Source organism: Homo sapiens, chromosome 17, assembly GCF_000001405.40.
Source record: "Homo sapiens chromosome 17, GRCh38.p14 Primary Assembly".
NCBI lineage: Eukaryota > Metazoa > Chordata > Mammalia > Primates > Hominidae > Homo > Homo sapiens.
In genome coordinates, this window is record NC_000017.11 from 16752998 (window position 1) to 16779751 (window position 26754).

Consider the following 26754-nt stretch of genomic DNA (forward strand, 5'->3'; position numbering starts at 1 on the left):
TATCCCAGAGTTCGTTGGTGGGAGTGTGGTGCTGCACAGTTCCTTCACCCACCCCTTCCTTAGTTTCTGGATTGGGAGGTAATCCTAGTGCTTGGTGACTCTGTGCAGGCTTCCCAGATTTATTCCTCTTCAGCCTTGATGCCTGCATTACCTATCAAATTTCAGTGTTTTCTCTCCAAAGACCTACTCCAAGTGTGATAATTTACTTGATATTTTGGTTTCTCTCTCGCAGAGAGGCATCTCCTGGCTGCATGTGGTGACCATCTTGTCTTCCCCTAAAAACATCAAAATTGGTATTTAATAGAGCTTGCGTTCAGTCTGTAGACTGCTTTCAGTAATAAGGTCATTTAACCAATATTCTTCCAGTCCATGAGCATGCAATATCTTCCATGTTTGTGTCCTCTACAATTTCTTTTGTCAGTGTTTTGTAGTTTTTTTTTTTTTTTTTTTTTTTTTTTTGTAAAGCTCTTTACAAAATCTCTCTGGTTAACTTTATTCTGAGCCATTTTATTATTTTGTAGCTAGAATAGTGGGACGGCCTTCTTGATGTCTTTTTATGCTAGTTGATTATTAGTGTATAGAAATGTTACACATGCTATTGGCATTATTTTTGTATGCTGATTTTGTGGCCTGCACCTTTGCTGAATTCTTTAGTTCTAACAGGCTCTTTTGGTGGCGTGTTTATGGTTTTCTGTATATGAGATCAGGTCATGTGCACAGGGAGACAGTTTGACTTTCTGTTTTCCAATCTGGATCCCCTTTATTTCTCTGACAATTTTTGTATCTGCATCCTTCAGGGATATTGGCATGTAGTTTTCTTTTGTTGTTGTGTCTTTGTCTGGGTTTGGCCTTAGAGTAATACTGAACTTTAGAATAAACTAGGAAGATTTTGGAATAATTTATGAAAAATTGGTGTTAGTTTTTCCTTAAAAGTTTAGTAGAATTCAGAGTAACTTACCCAGTTTTAGACCTTTCTTTGTTGGTAAACTTTATTACTGATTCAATTACATTACCGTTACTGGTCTGTCCAGGTTTCCTTTTCTTCTTGGTTCATTCTTGCTGGTTATGCACTTCCAGGAATGTATCCATTTTCCATACGTTTCCAGTTTGTTGGCATATAGTTGTTCATAATAGTCTCTCATGACTCCATGTATTTCTTTGCTATCTCCTTTTATGTTTCCCTCTTTATTTACTTGAGTTTTCTCTTTTTTCTTGTTTAATGTAGTTTGCAGTTTTGCTTTATTAGTCTACCTCATTCAGTTCTGCCCTGCCTTTATCATTTCTTTCCTTCTACTACATTTGAGTTTTGGGTCTGTTCTTGCTTTTTTGGTTTCTTCAGGTGTATTGTTAGGTTGTTTATTTGAAGTCTTTCTCTTTTTTGGATGTAGCTGTTAATTGCTATAAATTGCCCTCTTAGTGCTTCTTTTGTCACTTTCTATAGGGATTGATTTTTTTCCCCATTTTCATTTGTTTGAAGATATTTTAAATTTTTTTTCTTAATTTATTGATTGGCCCAGTTGTTCATTCAGGAGCATGCTGTTTAATTTCCGTGCATTTGTACAGTTTACAAAGTTTTTGTCGTTACTGATTTCCATTTTTATTCCATTGTGGTTTGAGAAGATATTTGATATGAGCTTTTAAACTCAATATATGGTCTATTCTGGAGAATGTTCTATGTGCTAATGAGAAGAATGTGTATTCTGCAGCTTTTAATACAGTGTTCTGTAAGTGTCTGCTAGGTCCATGTGGTCTATAGTGCAGGTTCATTTCGATGTTTCTTTGTTGATTTTCTGTTTAGATGATCCCTTCAATGCTGAAAGTCAGACTATGGAGTCCCCATCTATTATTGTACTGGAGGCTATCTGTCTCTTTAGTTTCAGTGATGTTTGCCTTATATATCTGTGTGCTCAGGTATTGAGTATATATACCTTTATGACTGCTGTATCCTCTTGCTGAATTGATCCTGTTATTATTATATAATGCCCTTCTCTTTCTCTTTTATTTTATTTTATTTTTTTTACTTAAGATCTATTTTGTCTGATATAAATATAGCTACTCCTGTGTGCTTTTGGTTTCCATTTGCATGGAATATCCTTCCATCCTTTCACTTGCAGTCTATGTGTCTTTACAGGTAAAGTGAGTTTCTTGTAGGCAGCATATTATTTGGTCTTTTTTTGTAATCCATTCATTCTATCTATATCTTTAATTGGGGAATTTAAATCATGTATATTCAAAGTTTTTATGAGAGGTGAGGACTTACTCCTTTCATTTATTAATTGTTTAGTGATTGTTTTGTCTATCATTTGTTCCTATCTTCCTCTTTTATTGTTTACCTCTACAATTTGCTGGTTTTCTGTAGTAATAATGTTTGATTCCTTTCTCTTTTTCAGTTCTGTACCTGCTCTACCAGTGAGTCTTACAGTTTTTTGATTTTCATGGTGGTAGACATTGTCTTTTTGCTTCCAGATTGAGGACTCCTGTAAGCATTTCTTGTAGGATCAGTCTAGTGGTGATGCATTCCTTCAGGTTTTGCTTGTCTGAGACGTTATTTCTTTTTCAGTTTTATTTATTTATTTATTGGAGACAGAGTCTCACTCTGTTGCCCTGGCTGGAGTTCAGTGGCATGATCTCAGCTTACTGCAACCTCTGCCTCCCAGGTTCAAGCAATTCTTGTGCCTCAGCCTCCTGAGTAGCTGGGACCACAGGCATGAGCCACCATGCCTGGCTAATTTTGTATATTTTTAGTAGAGACAGGGTTTTGCCAAATTGCCCAGGCTGGTCTTGAACTCCTGAGCTCAAGCAATCCCCCCACCTTGGCCTCTCAAAGTGCTAGGATTACAGGGATGAACCACTGCACCTGGCCCCTCTTTTTCAGTTTTAAAGGATAGCTTTGCTAGGTATAATATTCTTGACAGGCAGTCTTTTTCTTCCCGCATATTAAATATATCATGTCATTCTCTCCTATCCTCTAAGGTTTCTGCTGACAAATATGCTATTTGATATGGATTCCCTTGTATGTGACTTGGTGTTTTTCTCTTGCTCTTTGTCTTTGACTTTTGACATTTGACTCTGATGTGCTGCAGAGAAGACATTTTTTATTGTATTTCTTTGGGGATCTTTGAGACATCTGTATCCAGATGTTTACATCTCTCACAAGACTTGGTAGTTTTTCAGCTATTATTTCATTAGATAGGTTTTCTGTGCCTTTTCCCATCTCTTCTATTTCTGCAACTCCCAATATCTGAAAAAATTTTGGCTCATGATGGCCCATATACCACATACACTGTCTTCATTCTTTTTATTTTATTTTTTTTATTTTTGCTTTTTGTTTGCCTGGCCTCATATAAAGACCTCTCTTCAAGTTCAGAAATTCATTCTTCTCCTTGATCTAGTCTATTGCCAACATTCTCAGTTGTTTTTATTTTATGTATTGAATTCTCAGTTCCAGGATTTCTGTTTGGTTCCTTTTAATGCTATCTTTTTCATTGTTGAATTTCTTATTCAGATCATAAATTGTTTTCCTGATTCATTTGTATTACCTATCTTTCCTATCAGGAATCTTTCCTGATTCCTTTGTATTATTGTGTATCTCGCTATGTTTCCTTAAGATCATTATTTTGAATTTTATAGGTTTTGTTTTCTTTGGGATCTGTTACTGGAGAATTACTCTGTTCCTTTGGAGGTGTCATGTTTCTTTGATTTTTCATACTTCTTGTGTCCTTAATGTTGATAACTGTGCAGCTGGTGTAACAGTCACTTCATCTAGTTTTAGGGGTTGTCTTTTTTCTGTAGATGTATCTATGTTGTTGGTTGAATATGGTGCTCTGGCATTGATGATGGGTGGGTGCATTGGTGTGGCCTCCATATACTTATGCTTTCTTCTGCTGTAATCAACATCAGCGTCTGTAAGTTCCTCAGTGGCTTACGGTGTGGTTGTTAGTAGCAGGGGATGCTGTGGTGAGGCCTTGATGGTGATGGGGAGGACAGCAGGCCAGTCCTCAGGCACATTGATGGCATACACAAGGATGTATGTGTGATTGGCAGCACCAGGCCATGCTTCCCAGTTTTTGGTGGCAGTGGGTTACCTGAGTGGTCTGGCCCTTGGGCCTCCAGGTGGTGTGTGCTGGGATCAGAGGTGGCAATAGCAGGCCAGGCCAAAGGACCTTGGTGACACTTGTGGCACTGGAGATGACAGTAGCAGCTGGGGGCCGGACCTTGGATCCCTTGGTAGCATGCATGGGCACTGGTAGTGGTGAAAGCAGGCTGCATGGGCATTTCTCTGGCCCCCTATGAGGAACATTTAGGTGGGTACCTAAGGCAGTGTGTGGAGCAGGCTTGTCCACAGGTTAACTGAAGACACGTGCAGGAGCCTTTGCCAGTGGCTGGTGAGGCAGCCCTGTCTTTATGCTCCTGGATGCCACGTGCAGGTGCCGGTGGGGCAGTAGGACTCTCCTTGGTATTAGTGGTAGATGGGGCCTGGGTAAAGGCACAGAGGCCTGGGTGGGGTGGGCTGCTCCTCAGGGTCCTGGACAGTGTATGTGAGCACTGATAGCAACAATAGCAGCAGCAAGCAAAGTGGCCTTGTCTTCAGGCTCTCATATGGCTCACATGGGCGCCACCCCTGGTGGGCTTGACAGGCTTGTTCTCAGGCTCCTGCATGGTACACTTGAGTGGGCCAGTCCTCCGGCCTCCTAAAGGTATGTACAGGTATGCACAGCACTGCCCCTGAAGGGGATAGGGCTGCTGGTGGTGGCAGTGGTGTCAGTCAGGTGGCTCCTAGGCTCTAGACAGCACACACTTAGGATCCCTTTGACCTAGAGTAGCTTCCCTGGTGGGCTATTAGATGACCACCTATTTCCACAGGTATATGGTGCTGTGGGGCTAGGGATTTGGGGGAATCGGTCCTGGTTTTGAGATGATCCTGGTTGGGCTGGCTACCTCAGTTCCCTTTCCTTCTGTCATCAGAGGATCCCTATCAATTTCCTGCTGAATTCCAGTATACTCTCTTTGATGTTTTCCTCAAGGTGTGGTTACCTACTTGCTGTTTTGGTTTTTCTTTTTGAAAGAGGTGAGTGCTGGGTATTCCCAGTCAGCCATCTCGATGATGTCTCTGTCTATGCTGTGCATATTAAGGAATGTATAGACGTGTTTTAAAACCTGCACAATTGACCCTATAACTATAATTTAAAAGATTTCTACCACTTGAAAAACACACTAATTTCTAATTATTACCTCTCACCCCACACACAGGTTTTATTTAATATGGCAGAAGACTCAGGCTTAAAGTGCAAGATCCTAACCTCCCATCACACACACACAAGTTTCATTTAATATGGCAGCAAGCTCAGGCTTGAAGTGCAAGATCCTACCATCTTTATCACAGACGGTAGGGATGCACCCTGGGTTGTGGTTTCTGCGGTATAACCCCTTGAGTGCATTTCTTGTCAACACAAAGACGTAAGAACTAAAGGGACAACTTGTCTACCACTCACCCACCCAGCATTCTCCTAAACTGCCAGAGACCCTCCTATTGAACAGAGAGAAAATGGGAGTCACAAAGGGAATATTAGACCATAGAAATTCTGAAATACAGCCTGATGTGTGCTTCCACTTACTTGATTTGGACTTCATGGGAACCATCCTCTGTGGCTTTTTGTGGTACCTTCTTGGCTCTTTGTTGTATCCTTTTCATAAGCAATGACCTGTGTTTTCAGCTAAGTAGTTTCTTCAGCCAGCTTCCTCCCTGTAGAAGCTCTTAGGTCCTAAGGCCTCTTTTCATTTTTACTGTCTTGTTGTCTTTTAAGCCAAGCTAGCAAGCAGTGCTATTGTTACTATAATTCTCTTAGAGTCTCTTGTGAATTTTACTTGAGTTCTTGTCATTGGAAAAACCACTTGTCCCAATCTCTTTGAGATAAGCACTTCACCTTGTGCTTCCTGTGAAGGAAGCACACTGTTCTGTGTAGTACGACAGTGCCTTAAGATGCGTATACCCTTAAGATCTTTAAGGGAATTTGAGGCACCACCTTAAATCTTTCTAAGGTCTTAAAATAGAGCCTTACACTGACAGTCTTGGCTTCACCTTCAGACTTTCTCCTGGCAGCACCCTGGATTTGATCTTATCTCAGAGGCCATTTATCTCAGCAATACAGATGCTCCTCAGATTAGGATGGGTTTATGTCTGGATGGCATTTGCATTTGTTATGTCTGATATTTGTAATTTATAGGCCATCATAAATTGTAAATATCAGAAGTTATGGGTGGGTTTTCCATTTACGATAATTTCCATTTACAGTGACTTTATCCTGATGTAACCACCCCTGTAAGCCAAAAGGCTTACACATATCATGTCATTACTCAACACATATCATTTTCACAGTATTATAAAAAGTCAGAAAATGGTGAGTCGAACCATGCTAAGTCAAGGACTGTCTATATTTGGGAATCTGACATGTGGAGAGGCTATAAAAAGGATACTGAACCTAGAAAGTCCTGGTTCTTTTATATGTAGTAGTCTTTCTTTAGCTTATCTCTTGCATTGGTTTTACTTTCAGCGGCTGTGTAGTAACAGTGCCCTTTCCTTCAGGTTCCCGTATCGTTTTCTTCACTATCCTGGAGCCCTTCCTACCAGCTTCTTCGAGGACCATCAGGCTTCCACTAACAGTCTCTTTAAAACTCTTCTTGTTTTTGTGCTTATTCTTCTGTAGGTCCTTTCAGCTTCTGATTAGCTCCTGGTCCAATGGTAATCCTACATGTTTTAGTAGTTTTTGTTGTGTTGTTGTTGTGCAATCTATATGTAGTGTCAATATCTGTATCAGTTATTTCTTGGTATATAACAAAATGCAGTGTCTCAAAACAACATCTATTTTGTTCACAATCTGCAGTTTTAGGCAAGGCTCAGTGGGGCCAACTCCCTTTTTCTTTACTTGGCATCAGCTGAGGTGACTTAAAGCTGGGGACTAGAATCATCTAAAGGCTTGTTTATTTACCTGTGCGGCATTCGAAGCTGGCTTTTGGCTGGGACGTTAGGTAGGGAAGTCAGCTCGAACACCTACCTACATGAGGGTTCATGGTATGGTTTGGGCTTTCTCACGGCATGTTGGCTGCATTTTAAGGACAAGCGTCCCTAGAGAGAGAGTCAGGTAGAAGCTGTGTGACTTTTTGTAACCAACTTTAGAAGTCACACAGCAGTTCTGCCACATTGTGTTCCGGAGAAACCGGTTGTCAATGCCAGCTTGTATTTAGGAGAGGGAATGTCATGGGAGAAGTGGCAAGCAATTTGTAGATGTTTTAAAACCACCACTTCACTTACCTTTATAAAATAAAAAACAATCATAATTATTTCCTCTAAAGGAAAGCAGTTATTTCCAACTCAGCACCATTGAAATTTCAGTGCAATTTTTTGTTGTCATTCTTTAATGTGCTCCCTTATTTTGTGTAAAGTAACAATGAATTACAAGATTGTGCTACTGAATTAAGGCATTTTTCTTCAGAAAAATGGTATGGATCATGCCACTGAACTTTTATACTGGGAGATGTGATTGCTTCTTAACTCCAAGTATCATTACTCTTTGAAATGTAACTCAAATTAGCGTAAGACATTTGCAGTTCAGCAAAAGGCTTATGGTATTGGAATCCTTTTTTTTTTTTCAAAATGTATTAATTAGAGTCTTATTTTCAGAGTCTTATTATGGGAGCCATTTATTGACTCAGGCCCAAATAATTCAATATGATGCCCCTAAAACTTCTCTGCAAATTATGGAGAATGATAGTGGGTTAAAGGAATAAGAGACTTTGTGCTAAAGGGGTAACTTAGAGCCATTTTAAGGAGGAAAGCCATGAAACAGTCATAGGAAAACAGAAGTCTAAGATCAAGTCCAAATGTTGTGTGGCAAAGATGATGAAAGTAAAGGATGTATTTTTGTGAATTCTGGTGGTTTTAACTTTGTTTTTAATTTTCTGAGTAATCCAAGGGTCTGTATTTTATGAATCTACAACAGTATAGGTAACATTTTATTGCAACTGAATTTATTTCAAAAATTATTAGTTTTGGCTGGGCGCGGTGGCTCACGTCTGTAATCTCAGCACTTTGGGAGGCCGAGGCGAGTGGATCATGAGGTCAGGAGATCGAGACCATCCTGGCTAACACGGTGAAACCCCATCTACTAAAAATAAAAAATAAATTAAAAAAAATTTAGCCAGGGGTGGTGGTGGGCACCTGTAGTCCCAGCTACTCCAGCTACGCAGGAGAATGGCCTGAACCCGGGAGGCAGAGCTTGTAGTGAGCCGAGATCCTGTCACTGTACTCCGGCCTGGGCGACAGAGCGAGACTCCATCTCAAAAAAAAAAAAAAAAAAATTATTAGTTTTTTGTTAGACCATTCTCAGTCTACCTTCTTCATTACAAAACTATATTGTTTTACTCATGCAGATTGACCTTACAGAAGCACAGGAAACTGTACCTTCACGATGTCTACATCTGGATGCAGAGAATGAAGTTCTTCAACTTCAACAGACATTATTCTCTATGAAAGCAATACAAAAGCAATGTGAAACACTACAGAAGAATAAGAAGCAGCTGAAACAAGAAGTAGTAAACCTCAAAAGTTATATGGAAAGAAATATGTTAGAACGTGGTAAAGCTGAATGGCATAAACTGTTGATTGAAGAAAGAGCAAGGAAGGAGATAGAAGAAAAATTAAACGAAGCCATTCTCACCTTGCAGGTTGGTTTATTTATCTGTAATGTGCTTTCATTCATTTCGCTGCAAATTTTATTTTGGATATATACATTGTACATGTTTTCTCTACTTTCCTTACAGCAATTTGTTTGGTAGACTTCTAGAAGGAAGGTGGTATTTGTTTCTCCATTTAAATATTTTCGTTTCCATCATTCTTATAAGTAAATTGATCTTCCATAAGAATAATTCTCACTAGAGAATCATTTAATTACTAAAGCCAGTTGGCATAAAACAAGACTAATAGGGAAAGTAAAAAAAAAATTGTGATTTAGAAATTATACCATACTCTTGAACTGCTTTTAAGTTACGTTGTTCCACTTTTAAAATTTTAACTTGGTTCTGTCATTCTTTGGAGAATTGTTCAACAATTCAGATTCAGTTATTAATTCAGTTGGTACTGGTGATAAATATGTTAAGCTTGAGCTTCTTTCTTTCTTCACATTTTTCTTAAAATTGTTCTCTGAATCACGTACTTAAAATTGTTCTCTGAGTCACTGACTCCAAACAAAAGGAAACAAATACACAGTAATTATTCAGGTTATAATTACTTTTAAAATGTTCCCTTTTAATTTATTTTAGAAACAAGCAGCAGTATCTCATGAACAGTTAGTACAGTTAAGGGAGGATAATACTACTTCAATAAAAACTCAGATGGAACTCACAATCAAAGATCTGGAATCTGAAATCTCCAGAATAAAAACTTCGCAAGCCGACTTTAATAAAACCGAATTGGAAAGATATAAGGAACTCTACCTAGAAGAAGTGAAAGTTAGAGAATCCTTGTCAAATGAACTCAGTAGGTAAGTCAATATGCAGAATCATAGAAAATAAGTTAAGCTCATTAATTTGCCTTCAAAAGCATGACTTTTAGTGAGACAGGTTCATGAGATTTGTGGGAAGTGAAAGCTAACTAGATCATACAATTTTGGAAAATTGTAAATTATAAATAGTAAATGAACTTAACCTTTAAGTAAAATTGAAAATAGTAAATGAACGTAACCTTTAAAATCTTAGTCCAGGACAGTTCCTGTCTCTCCTGTTTTTTGGTTTTATGTGGCTTCCCCCAACCCCTTAATATTCTTATATAGTTAACCTGATCTATTAGGGTTTCAGCTAAATATTTATGAAGCTTCATAATTTAGACAGTGATACCATTATAAAAATTGCTTGTCAGTATTCCCTTAATTCAAAATACTAATTAATTAATTTCTGGAAGACGACAGCTGAAAACAGAAAGGGTCAAGTACGACTACTCTGGACACATTCTGGCACTCAGTAAATTCACTTTGCTTGATTGTGATCATTAGAGGGTGCCTTGAGAAGAAGTGTCCTGTATAGTTTTTCCAATCCACATAAAGGCACACTTGTGAAGCAGAGAATGATCAACTAGGGTTGAAGGGAAGTATAACTTACTAAGTGATAAAAAAATAACACCTTGGTCAGCCTGAGGCGGTATATGGAAGACAGAAAGGGCAGGCCCCACCTCTGATACATGGGCCGCAGTGTTAGGAGCTGATTGTCCTCGATGCTGCTTTAGTTCTCTTTGATTTCAGCAGTCTTATTCTCCCCAAGGAAAAGTCGCCGTGAATGATTCCTCAGTGCCAAATGCTCAAGTTTTTCCAGATAATGGGTGAAATATACAAGGGTGGTGAAAACAATTGTTTGAAAATGTCTTTGAGAGAGAGTTTTTTAGACAATCTCTAACAACATGTATTGTTTACTAAATACAAGTATTTCTAGCTTTTATTTTTACTTTTAGTTTTTTCTTGTATATATTTAAGGAGTACAACTTGATGTTTTGATATATTTATACGCAGTGAAATGGTTATTTTGTCAAGCAAATTAATATCTTCATCATTTCACATAGTTACCCTTGGAATACAAGTAATTCTAATGGCATCCTTAAGAATCATATAAGTAGAGTCATTCCAGATGGGCAACAAGTGTTAACTATGAAGCCATACATCATTGATAGTCTTTTCTGTCCCCTCCCTCTCTTTGAACTACTTGTTTGTTAGAAATCCCTCTAGAAATAGATGTACTTCTTTAGAACAATGTTAAAACTATAATTGGATACAGTAGGCATGCTCTAACACATTTTCAGAGTTAAAACACGGCTTATGGTATATTCCATTTACTCTTAATGGCAACTTTTAGAACAATCGAAGTCATTTAGGAATCATTTAGGAAAAAATGAAATACTAAGCATTTGTCTTTTTCAATCTTCATAGAACTAATGAGATGATAGCAGAGGTCAGTACGCAACTTACTGTGGAGAAAGAGCAGACCAGATCCAGATCTCTATTCACTGCTTATGCTACAAGGCCAGTCCTAGAGTCACCTTGCGTTGGAAATCTTAATGATAGTGAAGGTCTCAACAGAAAACATATTCCAAGAAAAAAGAGGTCTGCTCTTAAGGACATGGAGAGCTACTTGTTGAAGGTTAGCTATCTTTTTTCCTTCGGCGTTCAGATTTCTGATAGAATTCTTGTATGTTATTTGGTAAAATAGTTACTTAATTGTCTTGTGTATGGTAAGTAAAAGTAATAATTACCTGTGTTAATAAAGAGAGGAGACAGAAATTTTACCGTTATTTTTAAGTCTCTGGAGCTCTCATTGATAAGAGATTACTCCTTTGTTAACTTTATTTAATAAATGTAACCAAACTGACACATTTTAAATTTTTTTAAAAACTGCATTTAAGTTAGATTTTAACCAAAGGTTTACTTTGATGTGCTTTGTCTTACTAATTGATTTTAGTTTGTCTGGGGTTCACTTTTAATGGGTTTAGTGTGCCTGGGGTCACTTTTAAAGTTTTTCTGCGTCATCTCAGGTTTTCTACCTGTCATCATATGTGAATGATTGGTGTCCAAACACTAACCACCCATGGATGTTTATTATTTAAAAGGACCCAAGGTGAATACTTTTATATGTTATATAAACCTGCAACACTTGATTAATCTGTTCTTTAAGTTAAAAGTTTTGTGATTTTCTTATATGAGTACATCTGTAATTGCTATTGCACTTAATAGTGTTTTAATCCCAATTTTAGTAAAATGTGTCTATTGCTATGCAATAGCACAGTGGTTTTGAAATAGTTAAATCAAATAAATATTTGAATTTTTAAAGTAAAGCTCACATAAGTTTTGTCTCTCTACCTGGCCATAACTTTAGTAATTGATGACTAAGATGGCAATGGTATCTAGAGTCCTTCAATAGCAAATGTGACCAAACAGAATCAGTTCTATTCTTAATACCCCAAATTCCATGTAAAGCTGCACATGGACATCTCCCCTGGACATGTAACAGGAACCTTTTAGTTCAACCGTGTGGTTTCACTCAGAGTAAGAGTCTATTTCTGGGGATTTCAAAATGGATCCAAAAATGACGAGCTGTATCAACTATAGAGTTGGTAAGGAAAAAAAAAACAAAACGTAGTTCAACTATGCTTGACCCAGATTAAGGTATTTGTCTAACATTTGTCCATTTTTCAACTGAGGGAAAATTACAAAAACTGGGCACAGTGGCACACACCTGTAGTCCCAGCTGCTCCTGAGGCTGAGGCAGGAAGATCACTTGAACCCAGGAGTTCAAATCTGCAGTGCGCAATGATTATTCCTGTGAGTAGCTACGGCACTGCAGCATTCCAATCTGGGCAACATAGCAAGATTCTGTCTCTTAAAAAAATTACAAAATCCATAAAACATTTGTTTGAACAACAATAGATAAATAGTTTTCTTTGTGTATATTGTTGTTTTTAAAATTTTCAATCGATGCACATTGGCTTATAGTTTTGATGTTTTTATGATCTCCTTAGCGCACAGAAAAGTAGCGCAGGCCCACATGGAATGAACCTCAACCTTGTTGTGTTTACCTGGCTATTTCGTGTCCTAACAAATCATAGAAGAGCAAATCTAAGGTTTCTTAGATAGCATTGTGGCCAAATAGCTTAAAAGGGAATGCATTAAATGATTGTTTTAATACATAGATTACAAGAGCCCAGCTAGCTGATATTTTTAATCATATTGTTCGCTTAGGTTTTATTTTTCTGAAAAAAATGAGATGATCAGCGTCCAAATGCCTCAGTCATGAAATTGTACCACTGGGTACTAATGGGAAATGAATGTTAAATACGTCTGTAAATGGTTAAGCAAGATGCAAATATAATGTTCTCATTAGTACTATGAACCCCCAAAATTTGAGACAAGTCTCAATTAATTTAGAAAGTTTATTTTGCCGAGGTTGAGGACACACATCCATGACACAGCCTCAGGAAGTCCTGATGACATGTGTCCAAGGTGGTTGGGGCACAGCTTGGTTTTATACATTTTAGGGGGAGACATGAGACATCAATCAATATATTTAAGAAGTACATTGGTTCACTCTGGAAAGGCGGGACAATTTGAAGCAAAGGGAGGAAGACTGGTAGCGGGGAGGGGGCTTCCAGGTCACAGATAGGTGAGAGACAAACAGTTGCACTCTTTTGAGTTTCTGATTAGCTTTTCCAAAGGAGACAGTCAGATCTGCATTTATCTTAGTGAGCAGAGAGGTAACTTTGAATAGAATGGGAGGCAGGTTTGCCCTAAGCAGTTTCCAGCCTGAGTTTTCCTTTTAGCTTAGTGATTTTGGAGGCCCAAGATATTTTCCTTTCACAGTACTTACCAGAAAAACAAGGTAATGTATCATTTTACAAGATAGTGCTGAGAGAGTATAAAAAGCAGATGTAGGCCGGGCACTGTAGCTCAAACCTATAATCCCAGCACTTTGGGAGGCCAAGGTGGGTGGATCACCTGAGGTCAGGAGTTCGAGACCAACCTCCAACATGGTGAAACCCCGTCCCTAATAAAAATACAAAAATTAGCTGGGCATGGTGGTGTGCGCCTGCAGTCCCAGTTACTTGGGAGGCTGAGGCAGGAGAATTGCTTGAACCTGGGAGGCAAAGGTTGCAGTGAGCTGAGATTGCGCTGCTGCACTCCAACCTGGGCGACAGAGCAAGACTCCATCTCATGGGTGGGGGAAAAAAAATAAATAAAATAAATAAAAGCAGATGTGATGCAAGGGAAGATTTTTGAGGATCTTTTTTTTTTAATTTCTGTTTTGTGGGGAAGGGGGTGTTCATTTTTTAGTATTTCTAGATAAGTAGAAAATTTGTTTGTTTTAAAGTTAATGTTAATGTAGTAGTTCCAAGGCATACCTAGTTTCCTTGTGGGGCATTTTTTGCCCAATCATGTTAGATTTACTAAAAGAGATTTAAAAGCATGATTATATCAAGATATGAGTGCTGGGTACGGAGGCTCACACCTGTAATCCCAGCACTTTGGGAGGCCGAGGCGAGTGGGTCACTTGAGGTCAGGAATTCAAGACCAGCCTGGACAACATGGTGAAACCCTGTCTCTGCTAAAAATACAAAAATTAGCCTGGCATGGTGGCGGGCGCCTATAATCCTAGCTACTTGGGAGGCTGAGGCAGGAGAATCGCTTGAACCCAGGAGGCAGAGGTTGCAGTGAGCCAAGATTGTGCCACTGCACTGCAGCCCAGGTGACAGAGCAAGACTCCATCTCAAAAAAAAAAAAAAAAAAAAGATACAAAGGCATGTCTCCATAATCACACCTTGGAAGAGTTCTTATACAGCTGTTGTCTACAGAATTTTGAGAGTTACAGAAAGAAGGTGCCTTCTAGAGTTGCTAGGAACTTAAGTATTTCCTATAGGAAAACATCAGCTAATACAAGGAGGAGGAGGTAACATACCATCTAAACTGAGATTTACAAAAAAAGGTAGGGGGTGGGGTGGGTTTCTGGGTGGGGTGGGTTTCTGGGTGGGGCATTACAAAACAGGATATTTAGAAATTTTTAGCTACGATTTTCAAAAGCAAAATGTTAAAAATAGCACTAATATTGGATCTGTTTATACATCTCCTTTATTTGCAAGATTTTAACACTTTGGACTATTCCTACTGTGAAGTGCTATCATACTCAGCATTTTCTCTAACCTCAAGAAAAATGGTTATAATTTTGTATGAAATCACACACCAGAGAAATAATATATTATAACTGGTTGTTGAAACAAGTTTTCTCTACATTCATGACAGTTAGCATTTATTGCATCTCTCACCCCATTATATGAAGTCTAGAGTCTGACTGTTCCCAGACCAAACTGAGAGTCGGGCTGCTATTTATCATGGTCCAGTAATGAGATGCAGATGAATTGGGAAGAGAGGTTTTATTTTCTGCAACCGGTTACGGGGTTACAAGGAAGGCCTGGAAATTATTACCACACCAATTCAAAATTACAAAGTTTTCCAGAGCTTATATACCTTCTAAGCTATATATCTACATGTAAGTGTGCATTCGTCTATAGACATAAGTTTAATCTATAACGTTAAAGATCTAAGTCCTGCAGACCTTCCTCTGGAGCTTCAGTAAATTTATTTAATCTAAATGGGTCCAGGTGCTGGGGTGATTACCCTTATCTTGTCTCCTGCTAAATCATGGAGGTTTGGGAGTTCCATTAGACCCCCAATAAACTTATTTGTGGAGGCCTGGGGAGTTTCTTGAGATCCCCAATAAAACTTGTTTAATACCAAACAGGTCCTATTAAGAATTCCTTCATTATTTTGTCATACTTTAAGGCCCAGGGAAGGCCTAGGCAAGATTCTTGGTGGGCTTTTGTTACATTCCAGCCTGTATAAGGGCACTGGCTCTTTCAGCTTTTAATGTTTAACTTAACTACTCAGTCAGTGCCAAAGCAGTTGTTATGGAGGCCTGCGTTAGTGAGACCTGGCCTGCCACATAGCCTTGCCACTTAACACCATTGTAGTGATAATAGATTGCTATGCCTGTGTTTTACTGATTTTTACTTATAGGTTTCACATTCTAGATTAACCCTGGGATCCTTTGTCCTATATATCAGAAGTACTTTTTATAGTTTTATTGGCTCCTTATTTTCCAGCCTGTAATCTCAAGTATAATTTAGCAGTAGCCTGTCAATAAGTTATTGCTGAAGAGTGAACTTTGTATTTATTGGACTTTGCCTTTGGTACTGATTTCACTATATTTCTTTAAAAAAATTTTCTAACTACTCCCCTCTTTAAAGTGGAGGTAGTTGTGAAGAATGTATGGTAAGATTAGAAAAGTCAAGGAAGAAGAAACTATTTCTATAAGTGTTATACAGTCATCTTTCTTGTTCAGGCTGTGGTGGATAGGCAGCAAATGGTGCTCCTCCTTCCCTTCTGAGTTCAGAACACAGGAGTCAGATAGATGGACATCAACACACTAGCTCTATTGCAGACTCATGATAACTAATGGGAGGATGTGGCTCAGATGTGCAGCCACAGTATTTTATCCCAGATTAGGCACTAATCCACAGAGTTTTAAGTGGAGAAAACAAATGCTTGACACCCATCGCAGGTGCATGCTGCTTACTGCAGAGATGACAGCAGACCTGAACTCATGTCACTGTGGGCAGACACATCTTTTGAAAGAGACCCTGAGCCAAGCAAGCACACTGTGTGCTTTGCCCAAATTCACCCATTAGGTAGATCTGATATCCTCTCAAGAGGAAGCTGTAGGTAGAGAGAGTCTAAGTCCTCATTTGAAACCTGAGGCCAGGAAAATGAAGGTTCTCCTATCATTTATGGCTGGATTTAAGTGATAATTGAAATTAATCCCATGTCTTTGTATGTACAAATTAATGATGAGAAGTTGGACAGGCGTATGGTAGATGGTAAAGAGAAATCTGTTTTGTGTTTTCAGTTTTTCTATAAATAACTCACAACATGGATAATTGACTTGATTGATTTTCCTAAACCACGTCTTATTTGGAGGAGAATGAATAGTTCTTTTAAGGAACAGTTTTCTTAATTTCTGCTTGCTTGGTTCAACTAAAGATTTTCTCCTTCAAGTTTTCTGTTCTGCGGTTTGAAAAATGGGTTCTTTATAAATTGAGTGTCTTGACTGGTACTAGCCAGAAGTTATGATATTAATTGTTCTTTAAATTTGATTCATAACTTACAATTTGGAGAGCTACTATTTTTTGTCTCATGCTTAAACATTATAGAGCATCATGACAGTTTATAGATGCATTTTCTCTTTTTTGTTGTTGTTGTTGTTTTTGAGGCAGAGTCTCACTCTGTCTCCCAGGCTGGAGAGCAGTGGCGTGATCTCTGCTCACTGCAACCTCTGCCTGCCGGGTTCAAGCGATTCTCCTGCCTCAGCCTCCTGAGTAGCTGGGACTACAGGTGCACACCACCACGCCTGGCTAATTTTTATATTTTTAGTAGAGACGGGGTTTCACCATATTGTCCAGGCTGGTCTTGAACTCCTAACCTTGTGATCCACCCAATTCAGCCTCCCAAAGTGCTGAGATTACAGGCGTGAGCCACCACACCTGGACTGTCTGAGTTATTTTTTTATTTTTATTATTATTATTATTTTTGATGCGGAGTCTGACTCTGTCACCCAGGCTGGAGTGCAGTGGCACGATCTCAGCTCACTGCAAGCTCCGCCTCCTGGGTTCACACCATTCTCCTGCCTCAGCCTCCTGAGTAGCTGGGACTACAGGCGCCCACCACCATGCCCGGCTAATTTTGTGTATTTTTAGTAGAGACGGGGTTTCATTGTGTTAGCCAGGATGGTCTTGATCTTCTGACCTTGTGATCCTCCCGCCTCGGCCTCCCAAAGTGCTGGGATTACAGGTGTGAGCCACCGTGCCCAGCCTGAGTTATTTTTAAAAATCTGTATTTCTTTTCTGAATATGAAGGAAGGTGCTGGCATAGAATAACTCCAGGCTCAGTGAAAGATCTGAAGCCCACTCCTACCTTGTAACTAATTGGTTTTGTGACCTCAGGCAAGCTGCAGTCTCTCCGAGCCTGTTTTGTTTCTTATGTAAAATTAAGGACTTTGACTAAATCAGTGACATTCATACGTTTAAGTAAATCTCTTTTTTTTTTAAGAATGGAACTTTTTTAAATTGCATAAAACCACATTATAGAAAACAGAAGTAGTGCTGCCTGACTAAAGGAAGGATCAGTGCTCTGAAGCTGTGACTTTCTTATCCCTTAATCCTTCAGCATCCTCTGTGGAACCTTAGATTTCTGTGGGACATAGCTTGAAAAGGATCATTTCTTGAATTATTACTTTTATAAGGCCTGGATGGTAATGCTGTTGTCATGTTACCTACTCTATAAAGCCTATCTATAATGTTTTTGTCACAGAAATGTTATGGAAAGGAGTCTCAAAATATTGGTAAACCTGTTAGTAAAAAAAAAAATTGACTTGACACCTAAAATTTCTAAAGGCATTAGATATCATTATCTTTATCACCACAAACTATCTCAGACCCCGTTCTAGGCATTTAGTGAGAGAATACCTATTCTAAAAAAAAATTAAATAAGAGCACTCTAGATAGGGACACTGGCAATAAGTTTGAAATATTCTGACACCTTTCATAATTAAGTAGATAACTATAACTTGTCAGATGCTTAAAAAATGGGTACTAATTTCTGAAAAGAAATCAAAGTTGCAGTTAAATAACTCTAAATTGTTTTCCTAGTTTTTAATTCTAGACACTCATGAATCAAAGAAACTAAGATTGAAAACTGGCTCTAACCTGTATTTATCCTTGTTTTTATGTAAATTTTCTGAAATCTTTGTGTCCGTATGAATGAAGAAATGTTAATCATAATAGCATAATATTTTTAATCTTTTGCCAGTGGAACTTTCACATGGCATCACAACAATACTGCTTTCTTCAAGTATGTATTAAAGATTCTGTGCTGAATTAATAGCAAAGAACATACTTTGAAATTATTATTTTCTAAAAGTGGAGAATGGGGAGTTCATTGTAAGGAACTATTCATTAAAGTGAAAAACTGGTTAGACCTTGATAAAGGGCAGAGTTTTGATAAGAATGGGAAAGTAATGCATTCATTGCAGAATATGACTTGAATTGTGTAACCTCTGTACTAATAAGGGAAAACATCACACTTTTGAAATGACATAGCTCCAACAGACCAATATTAATTGTACTTTTGTGAGATTAATCTAAACAGCATAACACATATATGTTCTCCATTATCTAAACTTAAAATAGGTAGGAATTTATATGATATTTTTAATTTAAGCAATCTTCAAGTTAGGTCTAGTCTGTAAAAGTATTATTTAAAGGCCGCATTTTGTAATTAATGCTCCTTACCATGATAATGTATCTTCTTAAACGTTATAAATAATATTTGACTTATTTCAGATGCAGCAGAAGTTGCAAAATGATCTAACTGCAGAAGTAGCAGGTATGTTACCAAAATTTATGAATTAAATTTAGATTAAGTAATATATATCTGAAATAAACTGCAAACGACATCCCTTTCCGTTCTTGGGCTAGTAGATACTACATTAAATATTCTTTCATATACATCTAATGAAAGATGTGAAAACTTGAACATGTATAATGAAGAGCATACTTATGCCTCATGAATTCATCACGTTCCATAGCTTGAAAAAAATAGCTCAAGAAGTCTGGCTCTACTCTTCACTTCTGCCATCCCTATGGAATTGTCAGCCAGCACACAGAAACGGTTCTCAGAAAACAGAAGCATCATCAACTTCTCAGGGTTATGGTAGTGATTTTTAAGGCCAAAACATCCCAGTCTCATCTAGTAACCTATTCAAGCAGTTACAGTTTATAAGCAGTCGCTTGAGAGGTAACACTTTAAATCTCCAGTCATTTACAGTGTCATTGGTTTACTTTTGCCCTCAGAAAAAGTTCCAAATTCCTTAACATGTAATATAAACACCCACATTCATTTGGTTCTTGTCAAGTTACTCAGGCTTATCTCTCACCACTTACTTTACTCTGCCCCTTTGCTCTAGGATCCAGCCAAACTGGACTGCACAGAATTCCACAGTGCTCGTCCTTCTCCTCCAGCTCTTTGCACTTGCTTCTTTGCTCTATCTGCCAACCTTTTTTTCTCATCCTTCAGGTATCCACTAACCATGCCTCCACCGAAAAGCCTACAGTATCGAGACAAAACTGGGATAGGTGTCCCTCTTGCATTCCAATAGTGCCCTGTTTTATACCTGTCAGGGTATCTATGACTTGGTATGGAAATTGCCTATTTGTCTGCTTTTTCAGGTTATAGCATATGATTGCTGAGGGGTGGACTGTATCATCTTCATCTTGTAACTCCAGGGCATAGTCTAGTACCTTAGCATGTGGTTGTTGAATAAATGAATGAAGAATGAGAAAACCAGAAGCTGTGATACACAACCACAATGATCATTAATTTAGTGTGCAACTGTGGGCAGATTCTTATCTAATAATAAGTTAGCATTGTAGTCATACATACTTTTCATTCTTGTTAACACTGAAAAAGCTCTCAACTCTTTTTTACTGATTTGCACTTAGTTAACTATGAAATATATAGAATATAATTCTTTGGCCAGGCATGTTGGCTCACGTTTGTAGTCCCAGCACTTTGGGAGCCTGAGGCAGGCAGATCACTGGAGCCCAGGAGTTTGAGAGCAGCCTGTGCCAACATGACGAAACCCTGCCCCTATAAAAAATACAAAAGCTTGCCAGGCACAGTGGCTCATGCCTGCAGTTCCAAGTACTTGGGGCTGAGGCAGGAGAATTGCTTAAGCCTGGGAGGACAAGACTGCAGTGACCTGTGATCACACCATGGCACTCCAGCATAGGTGAAAGAGTGAGACCCTATCTTAAAATAATAACAATAATAATAATAATATAATTCTTGCTTTTTTTTTCAGCTGCTACTAAATATGAACCTGGATCCTATATAGCTTCTCCTCTAGGATTTACACACAAGGAAAATCTGAATCAAGATCCAGTTTTGGAAGTAACAAAAGAATATGCACAGATTTTAAGAAGAAAATACATACTCTGAAAGATAAGGCAATTTTATTTGGGCTATTCACATGATATTTTGTTTCCCATTAAATATATGATGTGAACATTTTTACTAAAGGGAAATATTCTATATTATACATGTCTGATGAAAATTTATATAGTATTTTAAATAATGTTTCTTGGCCTCTTCAGCTAACTTTTAAGTGGATTTTGCAAATGAAAACCAGTATTACTGAGTTTTACATACTCGAACTGCCCAAATGTTTGCTGTTTAAACAGCCAAATAATCAAGTTGCCATTAGTAATTTAGTGGAGCCAATTGATGGCTTGTTTGTATTTTATAATTTTATCTTTATACATAGTGATAGATTTAAGTTTAGATAGACATCATTTTGGTATACTGGTACTGTGGTCATTGTCAATGTTTGGATGTATTACGATTGTTATAGTGCAATCAAACTTAGATAATTTTAATTTTAAGCACTGATTTATTTAGATCTTTCCTTGTGGAAAAATAAGGTTTGCCTAAGGCTTTTTGCTTTTTTATTTATTGTTTCATTTCTTTATTAGATTAACTTTTGGGAAACAGTCTTAAAATTGGAGAAAATTTCCACATTTTAGGAAAAACAGCTTTCCCCCTGTGGGCCATTTGAGAGTAAATTGCTGACATTATGCCATCACATCTGGTATGTGGGTATTCCCACAAGTCAGGACATTTTATATAACTACTTCATAATCGGAAAGTTAACATCAATACACTTGATCATTTAATTCTCAGTTTCTTTTCAAGTTTTCTTAATTGTCTATAATGTTCTTTGTAGCAGAAGGATCCCATTCAGGTCCATGAATTTCATTTAGTTGTCATGACTCTTTCAGTCTGGAACAGTTCCTCAGTTTTTCTTTGACCTTTATGACCTTAAATCTTTTGAAGAGTAAAGTCCAATAATACAGAATGTCCCTCCATTGGATTTCTCTGAACTTTTTTTATGATAAGATTTAGATGATAATTTTTTTTTTGGCAAGAGTATCACAGAAGTTATCCCATGATCTTCTCACTGCATTCTATCAGGTGACCTGCAATTATTATTATTTTTTATTTTCATCTTTTAAGTTCAGGGGTACATGTGCAGGATGTGCAGGATGTCCAGGTTTGTTACATAGGTAAATATGTGCCATGGTGGTTTGCTGCACAGATCATCCCATCACCTAGGTATTAATAATAGCCCAGCATCCATTAGCTGTTCTTCACGATGCTCTCCCTTCTTTCACCCGCCACCATCCCACATGCCCCTGTGTGTGTTGTTCCCCGCCATGTGTCCATGTGTTCTCATTATTCAGCTCCCACTTGTAAGTGAGAGCATGCAGTATTTCATTTTCTATTTCTGCGTTGGTTTGCTGAGGATAATGTTCTGCAGCTCCACCCATGTCCCTGCAAAGGACATGTCTCATTCCTTTTCATGGCTGCATAGTATTCCATGGTGTATATGTACCACATTTTCTTTATCCAGTTTATCATTGATGGGCTTTTAGGTTGATTCTTTGTCTTTGCTATTGTGAATAGTGCTGCAATGAACATACGTGTGCGTGTATCTTTATACTAGAATTAGTTATATTCCTTTGGGTATATACCAAGTAATGGGATTGCTGGGTTAAATGGTATTTCAGGTTCTAGATCTTTGAGGAATCACCACACTGTCTTCCACACTGGTTGAACTAATTTACACTCCTATCAACAGTGTAAAAGCATTCCTGTTTCTCCATAATCTTGCCAGCATCTTTTCATTTTTTTGAATTATAGCCATTCTGACTGTTGTGAGATGGTGTCTCATTGTGGTTTTGATTTGCATTTCTCAGATGATCAGTGATGTTGAAGTTTTTTTGTTTGTTGGCTGCATGTATGCCTTCTTTTGAAAAGTGTCTGTTTGTGTCCTTTGACCACTTTCTAATGGGGTTGAGTTTTTTTTTCTTGTAAATTTGTTTAAGTTCCTTGTAGATGCTGGATATTAGACCTTTGTCAGATGGATAGAGTGCAAAAATTTTCTCCCATTCTGTAGGTTGTCGGTTTACTCTGTTGATAGGTTCTTAATGCTGTGCAGAAGCTCTTTAGTTTAATTAGATCCCATTTGTCAATTTTGGCTTTTGTTGCAATTGCTTTTGGCATCTTCGTCATGAAATCTTTGCCCTTGCCTGTGTCCTGAATGGCATTGCCTAGGTTTTCTTCCAGGATTTTTATAGTTTTGGGTTGTAGATTTAAGTCTTTAATCCATCTTGAGTTAACTTTTGTATATGGGTTAAGGAAGGGGTCCCGTTTCAATTTGCTGCATATGGCTAGCCAGTTCTCCCAGCACCATTTATTAAATAGGGAATCTTTTCCCCATTGCTTCCTTTTGTCAGGTTTGTCAAAGATCACATGGTTGTAGGTGTGTGGTCTTATTTCTGGGTTCTCTATTCTGTTCCATTGGTCTATGTGTCGGTTCTTGTACCAGCACTATGCTGTTTTGGTTACTGTAGTCTTGTAGTATGTTTGAAGCTGGGTAGCATGATGCCTCTAGCTTTGCTCTTCTTGCTTAGGATTGTCTTGGCTATTTGGGCTCTTTTTTGGTTCCATATGAATTTTAAAATAGCTTTTTCTAGGTCTGTAAAGAATGTGAATAGTAGTTTAATGGGCCTAGCATTTAATTTACAGATTGCCTTGGGCAGTGTGGTCATTTTCACGATATTGAACCTTCCTGTCTGTGAGCATATGTTTTTCCATTTGTTTGTGTCATCTCTGATTTCTTTGAATAATGGTTTATAGTTATCCTTGAAAAGGTCCTTCACTTTTCTTGTTAGCTGTATTCCTAGGTATTATACTCTTCTTGTGGCAATTGTGAATGGGAGTTAATTCATGAGTTTTCTCTCGGCTTGCCTGTTGTTGGTGTATAGGAATGCTAGTGACTTTTGCACATTGATTTTGTATCCTGAGACTTTGTTGAAGTTGCTTATCAGCTAAGAAGTTTTTGAGCTGAGATGATGGAGTTTTCTAGATATAGGATCATATCATCTGCAAACAAAGATAGTTTGACTTCCTGTCTTCCTATTTGAATAGCTTTTCTTTCTTTCTCTTGCCTGATTGCCTTGGTGAGAATTTCTAATACTGTGTTGAATAGGAGTGGTGAGAGAGGGCATCTTTGTCTTGTGTCAGTTTTCAAGGGAACGCTTCCAGGTTTTCAGGTACTCAGGCAACAAATAGCGTTACAATAGAATAGTACCTCACATCTCAATGCTAATGTTGAACGTAAATGGCCTAAATGCTCCACTTAAAAGATATAGAATGGCAGAATGGGTAAGAATTCACCAACCAAGTTGCTGCTGTCTTCAGGAGACTCACCTAACACATACGGACTCACATAAACTTAAGGCAAAGGGTTGGAAAAAGACACTTCGTCTAAATGGACACATCAAAAGCGAGCAGGAGTAGCTGTTCTTATATCAGACAAAACGGACTTTAAGACAACAGCAGTTTTAAAAAGACAAAGAGGGACATTATATAATGATAAAAGGACTAGTTCAACAGGAAAATATCACAGTCCTAAATATATATGCACCTAATACTGGAGATCCCAAATTTATAAAACAATTACTACTAGACATAAGAAATGAGGTAGTTGGCAACACAATAATAGTGGGGGATGTTAATACTCCGCTGGCAGCACTAGGCAGATCACCAAGACAGAAAGTCAACAAAGAAACAATGGACTTAAACTATACCCTGGAACATATGGACTTAACAGATGCTTACAGAACATTCTACCCAACAAGCATAGAATATACATTGTATACATCAGAACACGGGACATTCTCCAAAATAGACCATATGATAGGGCACAAAACAAGTCTCAGTAAATTTAAGAAAATCAGAATTATATCAAGTACTCTCTCAGACCACAGTGGAATAAAATTGGAAATTAATTCCAAAAGGAACACTCAAAAGCATGCAAATACATGGTAATTAAATAACCTACTCCTGAATGATTGTTGGGTCAACAATGATATCAAGAGGGAAATTTAAAAATTCTTTGAACTGAACGATAATAGTGACACAACCTATCAAAAACTCTGGGATACAGCAAAAGTGGAGCTAAGAAGAAAATTCATAGCATTAAATGCCTATATCAAAAAGTCTGAAAGAGCACAAATAAACAATCTAAGGTCACACCTCACAGAATTGGAGAAACTAGAACAGTCCAAATCCAAACCCAGCAGAAGAAAAGAAATAACAAAATCAGAACAAAACTAAATGAAATTGAAACAAAAAAATACAACAGATAAATGAAAAAGCTGGTTCTTTGAAAAGATAAATAAAATTGATAAGCATTAGCAAGATTAATCAAGAAAAGAAGAGAGAAGATCCAAATAAGCTCTATTAGAAATGAAATGGGAGATATTACCACTGATACCACAGAAATACAAAAGATTATTCAAGACTACTATGAACATCTTCACATCCATAAACTAGAAAACCTACAGGAGATCGATAAATTCCTGGAAATATACAACCCTCCTGGATTAAATTAGGAAGATATAGAGACTCTGAACAGACCAATCAGAAGCAGCAAGATTGAAAATGGTAATTTAAAAATTGCCAACAACAAAAAAGTCCAGGACCAGATGAATTCACACCTGAATTCTATCAGACATTCAAAGAATTGGTACTCATCCTATTAACACTATTTCACAGGATAGAGAAAGAGAAATCTTCCCTAAATCATTTGATGAAACCAAAATCACCATGATATGGTTTGGCTCTGTGTCCCCACCCAAATCTCATCTTTTAGCTCCCATAATTCCCACATGTTGTGAGAAGGACCCAGTAGGAGATGATTGAATCATGAGGGCGGGTCTTTTCCATGCTGTTCTCATGACAGTGAGTGAATGTCACAAGATCTGATGGTTTTAAAAACAGGACTTTCTCTACACAAGCTCTTTCTTTTTGCCTGCTGCCATCCACGTAGGATGTGACTTGCTCTTCCTTGACTCTACCATGACTTTGAGGCCTCCCCAAATATGTGGAACTGTAAGTCAAATAAACCTCTTTCTTTTGTAAATTGCCCAGTCTCAGATATGTCTTTATCAGCAGTGTGAAAATGGACTAATACACACCCTAATACTGAAACAGACTAATAGACACCCTAATACCAAAAGCAAGGAAGGACATAATGAGAAAAGAAAGCTACAGACCAACATCCCTGATGAACAGAGATGCAGTAATCCTCAAAAAAAATACTAGCTAGCTGAATCTAACAACATATCAAAAAGATAATCCATCATGATCAAGTGGGTTTCATACCAGGGATGCAGGGATGGTTTAACATCTACAAGTCAATAAATGCGATACACTACATAAACAGAATTAAAAAACAAAAGTCACATGATCATCTCAATAGATGCAGAAAAACCACTTGAGAAAATCCAGCATCCTTATTTTATTAAGACCCTCAGCAAAATCAGCATAGAAGGGACATACATTAAGGTAATAAAAGCCATCTATGACAAACCCACAGCCAGCATTATACTGAACAGGGAAAAGTTGAAAGCATTCCTCCTGAAAACTGGAAGAAGACAAGATTGCCCGCTTTCTCCACTTCTATTCAACATGGTACTGGAAGTTCTAGCCAGAGCAATCAGACAAGAGAAAGAAATCAAGGGCATCCAAAGTGGTAAAGAAGAAGTCTGCCTATTGCTGTTTCCCAATGATATGATTGTATACCTAGAAAACCCTAAAGACTCATCCAAAAAGCTTCTAGAACTGGTAAATGCATTCAGCAAAGTTTCAGGATACAGAGTTACACACAAGTGTGCACAAATCCGTAGCTGTGCTATACACCTTCAGCGACCAAGCCAAGAATCAAATCAATAACTCAACCCTTTTTACAATAGCTACAAATAATAATAATAATAATAAAATACTTAGGAATGTTCCTAACCAAGGAGGTGAAAGATCTCTGCGTGGAAAACTACAAAACACTACTGAAAGAAATCACAGATGACACAAACAAATGGCAGCACATCCCATGCTCATGGATGGGTAGAATCAATATTGTGAAAATGACCATACTGCCAAAAGCAATCTACAAATTTAATCCAATTCCCATCAAAATACCACCATCATTCTT

The 26754-nt window shown here is 37.9% G+C and overlaps 1 protein-coding gene across 6 annotated transcripts in view; it reads left to right on the forward strand.

The window, feature by feature from the left end:
• Positions 1 to 24884, forward strand: part of CCDC144A (coiled-coil domain containing 144A) — a 111165-nt gene extending 86281 nt beyond the window's left edge. For 3 of the 6 annotated variants that reach the window (NR_130142.2, NR_167766.1, NM_001382000.1), the window contains 5 exons: positions 8428 to 8721; positions 9316 to 9536; positions 10968 to 11178; positions 18980 to 19022; positions 20500 to 24884. Coding sequence is in view for 4 of the 6 variants with exons in the window: in NM_001382000.1 (NP_001368929.1) it covers positions 8428 to 8721; positions 9316 to 9536; positions 10968 to 11178; positions 18980 to 19022; positions 20500 to 20636 (906 nt within the window). In the remaining 2 variants the exon portion in view is untranslated. Of the gene's footprint in view, positions 1 to 8427; positions 8722 to 9315; positions 9537 to 10967; positions 14487 to 18979; positions 19023 to 19602; positions 20179 to 20499 lie in introns of those variants that run through there. The other 3 variants (NM_014695.3, XM_017025430.2, XM_017025429.3) reach the window with 3 other exon arrangements.
• Positions 24885 to 26754: the final 1870 nt, after the last annotated feature.